This window comes from Homo sapiens, chromosome 13 (genome assembly GCF_000001405.40).
Source record: "Homo sapiens chromosome 13, GRCh38.p14 Primary Assembly".
Lineage (NCBI taxonomy): Eukaryota > Metazoa > Chordata > Mammalia > Primates > Hominidae > Homo > Homo sapiens.
Genome location: NC_000013.11, coordinates 81,219,664 through 81,230,028, shown reverse-complemented (window position 1 = coordinate 81,230,028; position 10,365 = coordinate 81,219,664). Strand labels below are relative to the sequence as shown.

The following is a 10,365-nucleotide window of genomic DNA, read 5'->3' as shown; positions in this document are numbered from 1 at the left end:
ACAAAGGTTTAAGTTTTGTTGTTCCATGTGTTTTTATTGTTTGGCAGAAACGGCATGAACTCTTGACTCCAGAACCTAAAGTAAGAAAGAAATTAGTATCTGAAAATTGGATATTTCAAACTATATGATGGCTGTTAAAGTTTATAACCCAGTGGTCAAAGTCACATAGGCAAGCCTGAAGTCAATGCATGGGAAAGACAGCTTTCCCTAATGAAAGGGTTGCATAGAAAGATGTTTTGTAGGGGGTATCAATACATACGTTAAACAAACAATACAAACTACTACAAAATAGAGGGAGGCAGGAAGTCCCTTATCTTCTATTGGATTTTATTTTTTAATTTTTGTTGTTGATTTGAGTTGGCTGAAGAGATTCTAGGATAAAAAACAATTCATATACTCTAAGATGTGTGTAGCTCACTTAACAATTCTCGAAAAACTCTTCAGACTAATGACTTAATCTGAACTGAAGAAAACAACTTGACAATTTTTTACAAAAGACATTGTGATCACTAGAACAATATATGGAAAGCTCTCTAGTTTCAAGCTTGATCTGTGTCCTTATTCTGATCTCAAATTTTTAAGATGGGACATAAAGTATATACAGTTAGATTAATACATAACATTTGCATTTAAAATATAGCAATGTCAATCAGTAACTTAAGTCATTTCTATGTTATAAAAATGATCCTGATTATGAATTATAAATTTGAGTTAATTTACAGATATTTAGTTTATGAAGGCTATCTGCCTTTGTTAAAATAAAAGCATAAAGGTCAGGAGAAATATGACAGAAAGTTGATTTAACATAAATGTATTTGAATTAATTTTAATCTTTAAGAAGCTTATAATATGTTTTAAATTCTCTTTCAAGCATTATTTGCAAAATGGAAATAAAAAGGCTGAAGACTGCTTTGCTAGATACATGAAATAACTTCTAGTAGACAATCAATACAAATTTTACCCCCTCTCCCCTCCTTTGAATGTGCCTGAATCACTAAAAGTTACTTTTTTAAAAATGAGAGTAATCTAATGGGGATTACTATATGGAAATCTATATGAAGTCTACAGAGTTGCATATCCCAAGGGTGGTAATTTAATTCATCAGTGAGCTCATATATCATACCTTCCAAGGGAAATGCAAAGTAAGGAGCATATTTTGTCTTTCTCCCATGAGATAATAACGTTCAACACAAGCGTGAAATGAAGAGCTGGTAATAAATTCTGAACAGGTGTGATAACCAGATTAATGCACACCTCTATTTTTTGCAATTTAAATTAAGTTAAATTAAATTTATTATTTCCATGTAATATGTGTTTTTCAAAATCACAGAATAAAACTAATGTTCAAATCTGCAATTCAAAGTCAAATGACATTGCATTATTCACAAACTTACCTACTTAACTCAGCACCTGGACTGCAATACATTAATAGATCTGTATTCTAAGATTTTGTTTACCTTAGATTATAATACAAATTTACAAAGATGGTATATTTCAGCTCTCTATAGTACATGCATCATTGTTATAGTCAAGTCTTAGTCCTTTAAGGATTTTTAAATTGGACCTTTTAATAAATTATTAATACTTCCACAATAGTATGACATTTCTGGAAGAAAGCACAATGAGAAAATATGCAAATGACAGAATGTTATGAATTATCAACAGGGGTGAGTCATTGATAGCAAAGATGCATAAAATTATAATATTCAGTTCATCTCTTCATTTAACTTTTCCAAGTATAATTATCCAGTTATTTAATTTTTTACCGCTAAGACTGAATGTATTGTCTAGGGTCTTCAAAACCTTTCAACATGTATAGAGAATTGAGAAGAAAAATCAACTGAAGCAATAGAAATCCATTAATGTTTCTTCCTCAGAGCTAATTTAAAGAGGACACTTACCATACTGTTAGTTCCCCACAGTGACTAATTTCACATTATTAATCATTTGCAGTAAAAGTACAGGCATAACAATAGCTGTACAATTGGAGATAGAATTCATATCTCTTAAATCTCTGCAACTTACAATAGCTGTACAATTGGAGATAGAATTCATATCTCTTAAATCTCTGCAACTTCTCTCCAAGGATCAGGAAATGATTTAATGTTATTTGAAGTATAGGCATATATCTAATATATACTTCACTGGCTTTTCTTCCCTAAATGCCTTTACTCTTAACTAGGTTATCAAAGGTAAACAAAGTCCTGTAACTGTATTTTCTCTAAATCATGAGAATGAAATAGTAAATATTTTAAAATTGAAAAGCTTAATAAATATAGAAAAGCAGCAATACCTGTGCTCTTTCTTATGTTCTTATTAATGTGCGTTGAGTGTACGTGTGTTTTAGATATTGCTATACTAATTTTTCTGTTTAGTGAACAGTATCACGTTAAATTCTGGGTAAAGAAACAGAGGGATATAAAGTCTTTCAACTCCCTCACTGAAATTCAACCTGGAAAATATTTCTTTTGAAAATGATTCTATGTATTATGATATATAAACAGGCAGTATTTGTTCTTTTCTGATTTTCTTCAAAATGATAATAACAAAAATTGGTATTTAACTTTCCAATAAAAATACAGAATAAAGCAATGGGAAATTGAGAGAGCATTCTCTGAGAAGGAAATTTAATTGGAACTTATCCTTAATCATCTAAGAGTAAAAACATTTTGAAGATATTCTAGAATATTTTATAGAACATTTCATGAAAAGAAAGGACAAACAGATGAGACAGAATAGCAAGAATAGAGGACATTAGTGAAGTGAAATAAGCCAAACAAAGACAAATACCGCATCATCTTGGGCTTCTGGGTCGGGTAGGGACTTGGGGAACTTTTCTGTCTAGCTAAAGGATTGTAAACACACCAATCAGTGCTCTGTGTCTAGCTAAAGATTTGTAAACGCACCAATCAGCACTCTGTCAAAACGGACCAATCAGCTCTCTGTAAAATGGACCAATCAGCTCTCTGTAAAATGGACCAATCAGCAGACTGTGGGTGGGGCCAGATAAGGCAATAAAAGCTGGCCACTCTAGCCAGCAACGGCAGCTGGCTGCTTTCTGTTGGCATGCAGTGTGGTGTTTGTTCTTTTGCTCTTTGCAATAAATCTTGTTGCTGCTCACTGTTTGGGTCTGCACTGCCTTTATGAGCTGTAACACTTATTGTGAAGGTCTGCAGGTTGACTCCTGAGGCCAGGGAGACCACGAACCCACCGGTAGGAAGAAACTCTGGACACATCCGAACATCAGAAGGAGCAAACTCCAGACACACCATCTTTAAGAACTGCAACACTCACCGGAGGGTCCGCGGCTTCATTGTTGAAGTCAGCGAGACCAAGAACCCACCAATTCCAGATGCAGTCTCACCTGTATATGGAATTTAATAAAGCCAGACTCATGGAAGCAGAGAGTAGAGCAGAGGTTGCCAGAAGCTTGGATTGGAGGTAAATGGGGAGCTGTTGGTCAAAGGGTTAAAAAAAGGCAAGAGTGACAAATTGTATTAAAAAAATTATTTAAAATGTGTTTTGACACATCATTTTTATGATAATAATGTTTATTTATACCTTTAACCTAATATAATTCAAATTTATACTGACATCCTCCCATCTGCTCCTTCTGAAGGACAAAGTCATCTGTCATTGATTTAGAGTTCCCAGGGTATTATTTAATTAGGGCTTTGTAATTAATAACAACAAGGAAACATATTTTTGACATTTTTGACAAAAATATTTTTTCCCCTTCTAGCCTGGCAGAATCAATTATGTATCCACATTCATTCTAATTGTCTTCCTTTCTTAAGATTGGAAACTTAGAAAATAAAAATGTCACTTAGCTCTCAATATGAAATTAAATTGTTTCAGAAGACAAGTATTATTTTTAAAATAATATTAGCTGTTTTGTATTAAAATTTTTTCGTTTGCAGTTATAGTTAGTAACATATCTTTGTAACTAGCAAAGAAATTAAGAACAGTATCATAAACAGCTGTTTCATTTAAGGATAATCTAATGCATTTCATTTTTTGACTCAGATTTTAATATACACATGTCAAAGTAAAACTGGATTTTATGTAGAGGTTAATTTGAGAAAGGGTTTTAAATGTGTAATTTAAATTTTCTCAAGTTGTGCCATCCTGTATTTTAAGTCAGAGTAAAAGTTATAACACAAATTTTGTTGTGTCCCATCTCACTTGCTTTTACGGGAAATGAGCCCCGCATTGAGCTGTTTATTTCTGTTAGTCTCCAGGGAATGTTCTGTTGGTCTCCAGGGAATGTTACATATGTGCTTAAAAAAATTGCCAGCAATAATTACTTCGCTATGGCCATTTCCCTTTTTCCTATTCTAAACCTGTTAATTGTTAATTGCTGAACTCTGATGGAGATGCTACATAAATGCCTTAGCTTCCACCAGTGTTTCTGATTCTTCTTGTGAGTATGAAATCAACACACCAGCGTGCAATCTTTTTCATGTTTCCAAATCTGTTATCCAAGTACTAAAGTGACTCCACATGACTAAAATAACCGAAGAGCTCACTCCTTCATTTTTTCTTTTTTGCATATTGTCACCTGAGTCTAAGCACCAACTTTAATATCAGAGTTTCTTCTTAGAAAAATAAATTCATCCACTCCTCAATAGGTCTCAGCTAGTCCTCCATCGGGTAGGAGAGTTCAGTCACCAGGCTCGCTTCTCCATCGTTTCCTCTCCTCTACTTTTGGCAAAACAGGAAACTCTTCTCCTTAGTCCCCTTATCTGTTCCTCGAACAAATCCGATTATATGCAGATTTGAAGCTTAGCTGACACAGATAGCATAATCACATAAAATACTAAGTGAATTGAAAAATAAAACGAGTTATTTTTGAATTTAAAAATCTGTCTACAACTACTAGTTCCAGTTGCAATGTGAAAATACCTTGGATACAGCCACTCCTGTCTTTACATAGAAAAAAAATGTTGCACAAACTGAAAATCAGTAATTTTCTTTGACTCATGAGAGTCGTGATTCCCAGGGTAAACCACCACTCCAAAATCTGGAGACAGGTGAATGTAGACAGTCATATCAAAGATCTGCTTACCTGGGGCTAAAGCCACTGGGGCCATAAACTGGTAGGCCTAAACGAGTGCAGTCATATTTCACTTAATGACTGAGATAAGTGCATCATCTCCTGTAATAACAAAAATAACTTTTGGAGCACCTCCTGAAGTACTTGCCTGAGGCTATTGTTCAATTAACAATTATTTTAGTAGTAGTAGGAGTACACTCTACAATAATGACAAGAAGTATATTACGGAAAATACAGAAACTAAGTTTATTTTCATTATCCCGTTTTATGTACTGTACATAATTACATGTGTGATATTTTTATACGACTGGCAGCCCAAGAGGTTTGCTTGCACTAGTGTCACCACAAACACATGAGTAATGCATTGCACTACCGTAGTATGATGGCTACAATGCCACTATGCCATAGGAATTTTTCAGCCTCATTTTAATCATAAGGGACTACCGTGTATATACAGTCTACTTTTGATCAAAACCTCCATTTTTTACCAAAACATGTGGCAGACCAGGTCTCCATTTCCAAACAGAGGAGTCAGCTTTCACCAACACCTTGCTGTAACTCTTATGAATACATAAGTTAAACATTAAAGAACTGGGGAAACCAGTGCCTTAGTACAAAGGCTAGAATATAAAACCAAGTCCATTTAAGACCCGGCCTGGGCTTTCTCAGACTTCAGAGTTTAATTAAAACAACTGAGACGTTCTTGTACACCTTGTACCAGGACCCACTTTAAATTAAATACTTTTTCCAAGGCTCTGCAGTAATTGTTTAGACCCCAAACCCTAGATAAAGAATAGATAGAGTGAAACACTTTGGCTTTCAGCTTATAGGTGTATTAAATGTATGTAAGCACTAGATAACTTGTAATTTTGAGTTGGTCTGGTGAGTTACTCCGAGCTCTTCCTTTTAACAGTTTGCAGAAATAAGCTCCCTTCCTTCCCAGCCAGTCTGCATCTCTTTGTTGGTCTGCGAGAACCAGCAGCCGGACACACCCATTCGGTCCGGGAACAACATCGTAACTATAACTTTGGTGAATTTCTGAGGCTGGATGTGGATTAGCATGAGATAAGCAAAGTCCTAGAGGCCTTCCTTTTGGATGGTCCTCCACAATTTTGTGAAATTTACCCATAGGAACTCATAGGTTATGATAGTGAACAGAAAAGAAAAAATCCTGTGTTCTGGAAGTTCAGGGGAAAAGTAACTATTTTGAAAAACACTGGGATCTTTCTGTAAAACAAAGGCCTACTCTGCAGGGAAAAAGACTTTATCAGAGCTATATCTTACCCAGGAGAAGGTCAATTTTACAACTCTCATACCCAGGAGAAGGGCAATTTTACAACTCTAGCTATATTAGCCCAACTGCCTCAGAAAAGGTGAGGGGGAGGTGGGAGCTAAGAAAATGTGTGAAAGTCAAGCCAAGAACAAAGACCTACTAAAACATTGAGTTTTAATTACAATGTTGTAGATCTCTACCCCTCACCCACACGTTCCCACCACATGTATAGGGCTCCAGTGTAATAATAGTGGATTATAGCTGAACGAGATACAAGGCACACATGTAAGAAGGATTTTTTGTTTTGGTTGTTGATTTTTTTCTTTAAGTAAAACCCAAAGACAACAGAAGAAACAAAAAGAAGGACATTAAAAGAATTTGAAACTCTGACACCTGTTGCCACAGCAAATATTCAACATAGCCCAACTCCTTCCCAAGTGAACATAAAACCTCATACTAAAGGTATATTTATTTTGGTTCATATTATGTCTAGTTTTCAACAACAACAACAAAATAGAAGGTGTCTTAGTCTGGGCTTCTAAAACAAAATATCATAAACTAGGTAGGTTATACACAACAGAAATTTATTTCTCACAGTTCTAGAGGTTGGGAAGTCCCAGATCAAGGCACTAGCAGGTTTGGTGTCTGGTGAGGGTGGCTTTCTGGCTCATAGTTGTCACCTTCTAGCTGTGTCCTTAATATGGTGGAAGGACAAATGAGCTCTCTAGGGCTTATTTTATAAGAACTCTAATTCCGCTCATTTCACTTATCCCATTCGTGAGTGTTCGGACCTCACTGACCTAATCACTTCCCAAAATGCCCTACTTCCTAATGCCACCACCTTGAAGGTTAGGACTGCACCATATAAATTGTTGGGAACACAAACATTCAGACTGCAGCCTAAAGTGAAGTGTGTTAAGATGCAGATAGATAGATAGGTAGGTAGGTAGATAGATAGATGACAGATAAATAGACGATAGATATAGATAGACCCAGCCAACAAACAAAAACATAGTTTGGAAAGACAAAGCAAGCATCAAAACTTGACTCAAATACAACACAGCTTTTGTAATTATCAGACAGGGAAATAGAAATTACTATGAATTATATGATAAGAATTCTAATGTAAAAATGTAAACAGCAAGCAGAACAGATGGCTAAAGTAAGCAAACAGATGAAAACACCAAAAAATTATCAAGAGAAAACACTAGAAATAAAAAATACTACCACAGAGAATTTAAAAATAATTCTGATGGGCTCATTGATAGACTGGAAATAGCCATGGGAAAGTCAGCGAGCTTCAAGATGTCAATAGACACGTCTCAAACTGAAATTCATAGAGAAAAGATGAGAAAAGTAGAACAGAATATTCAAGAACTGTGGAACAACTTCTCAAGGTACACATAATACATGTAATTGGAATACCAGAAGATGAAGAAAGACAAAAATTAGAAGGAATATTTGAAATAATAATGTCAGAGAATAGTCCAAAACTAATAGAAGAAACCAAACCACAGATTCAGAAACCAACCACAGATTCGGAAACTTCAAACAAAACAAATACCCCAAAAATCTATACTGAAGAATATCATATTCAAACTGCAGAAAACAAAGGACAAAAGAAAGCCTTGAAACAGAACAGATTATAAAATCGTCTAAAAAAATTACTTTACACAGGAAAACAGATAAGAATTGGAATGGACACAGAAAGACAAGTACTACATGATCTCACTTATATGTGGAATCTAAAAAGTTGAACTCATGGGAGCAAAGAATGGATGGATGGATGATTACTGGCGGTAGGAAGTTGGGGTAAATGGGGAAATGTCGGTCAGAGGGACAAACTTGGCAGTTGTAAAATGAATAAATTATGGAGAGCTAATGCCCATCATGATGACTATAGTTAAAAATTGTACCTTGTATACTTGAAATTTGCTGAGAAAGTAGATCCTAAGTATTCTCACACATACAAAATAGTAACTGTGTGAAGTGACATGTTAACTAGCTTGATCGTGGTAATCATTTCACAATGTATACATATCTCAAAATATTCCATTGTACACCTTAAATATATACAATTTTTGTTAGTTATGCCTCAGTGAACCTCGGGAAGAAAGAAACTAAGCAATTAAACTTTGTCTTCTTAAGTAAATACATTAGAATGTTTAATCAATAATGTATAACCATGTATTAAGAAAGTCCTATGAATAATATGTAGAACATAATTTATATGTTAAGTTCATAATATAAAAATAGCCACATGTGATATTAGACGTCCAATAATAATTTGGCCCCTCAACGTCTCATAATTTTCTGGATCTTTATCTTTTACCTAAGGGGATTTTCAATGTCACACTGATACCTGTCCTACTTTTTTAAAGAGTAAACAAATTCATCATTTTTCTCTTTGTAGGAGAGATTTGTGATCTTACTTAGATGATGTGTGAGACAGTAAATGAAATGAGGAGCATTCACTTAAATGTTGCTGAGCATTTCTGTCTTCTGGGCTCCAGTATCTGAGAGTTGATTATGAGTTTCTTCTAATATCATAAGAATGAAGGCATACAAACATCTTGAAGTACAATATGAAATTTGTAAGTATTTCTAGTGAGACTGTGGGAGAAAGCCAATAATTGTTCCTGGCAATAAATGGAATATTAAAAAAAAAAACCCTTGATGATATGTTAACAATCTCAATTCCCAATATGCTGCCTCACTTGGGTTTGTACTCTTTTTATGGTAAAGCTTTTTATAATATGTTTTCTTTGAATATTAAAATTACTTAATTTTTCCTCATTTTGGTAATAAGTCTTAAAAATTAAATTATTTCTATACTTATTCAAATTATGGTTAGTCACTTAAAGAAAAATGGCTATCTTGAGTCATCTTTCAGTGGCTATTTCACTTCAAACTATGAAAAGCTTTTTCATATTAGCAGTAAACATTTTCAATAACAAAGGAGATTATCATCATTAATCATATAATTTATTCCTCTTTGCACTGAAATACTCAATTTTTGTGTCTGGTTATATCTGATTTCATATTCTCTTTCACAAAAATGATCTGTTCTTCTTATTTTCTCATTTATTCTCCCAAGTTTATTTTATATGCTATCCTCTGCATACAATCTGATCTCCAAAAGCCATCCACACATACATAATGTCCATGACATTTAATGTAGACTAAACCCATAGTACTTATATTCATTGACCTTTGTATTATATTGACTGTATATTTACTTGAGCTCTGCTTCAACGATGGATATGAAGAGAGAAAAATCTCTTTCTGAGCTGTTATCCTACAAATTTATAGCCCCAAACACTGAAACATTAAATACATTATTGTTCAACAATGTATTTAACTCAAGCTAATCAATTCTCTTTCTTTATGACAAATAGCTGAGGAAATACAGTTATTATCAATGATGTATTTTTGACCGATAATCTCTAAATATTTTCAATTAAGTTTCACAAGTCTTAACTTTACATTTTTCTTTAAAATGAGCATAATGAAATCACTAATAACAATTTGATCTCTAACAAATTGTGTGTGTATGTTTAGAGTTATAACACATACAAAATATATATTTAATTTCTCACCTGTTGTTTTTAACTGTATTTTATCCTATGGTAGCATTCACTAGTGAGACCCACATGCACACAATTTTAGATGTTAAGAGAAAATATTAATAAATTATCTAGTTCATTCTCATAACTTTTAAAGAAGGCTTCTAAAATACAGCCAGATTTGAGGTACTTTAATCAGTATTACTTTTTATTTAATAGATATACATATTTATTTTCAGCTAATATTTTAAGTCAATCTAGACAGGTAGATGATTGTTTGCAATTACTCTACTATAACCATACATTTATTTCTTCTTTTAGTAACCTTTACTTGGTAAGTGAAATAGGAGGTGACTGTGATGAACAATACCATTAATAAAGATGAAATTACTACTGAGTCAGAATAATTTTTGAAATTATCATTTTTAATAACTTTTGCAGATATTGCATGTATTTGTTAGGCCATTGTT

General features: G+C 33.7%; 1 long non-coding RNA gene across 1 annotated transcript; it reads left to right on the top strand.

Annotated features, from left to right (window-relative positions):
• Positions 1-3,045: 3,045 nt before the first annotated feature.
• On the top strand, positions 3,046-4,164 carry LINC00564 (long intergenic non-protein coding RNA 564). The gene has a single exon (NR_047494.1). It is a non-coding gene; the product is annotated as a long intergenic non-protein coding RNA 564 (long non-coding RNA).
• The last annotated feature ends 6,201 nt before the right edge of the window (positions 4,165-10,365 follow it).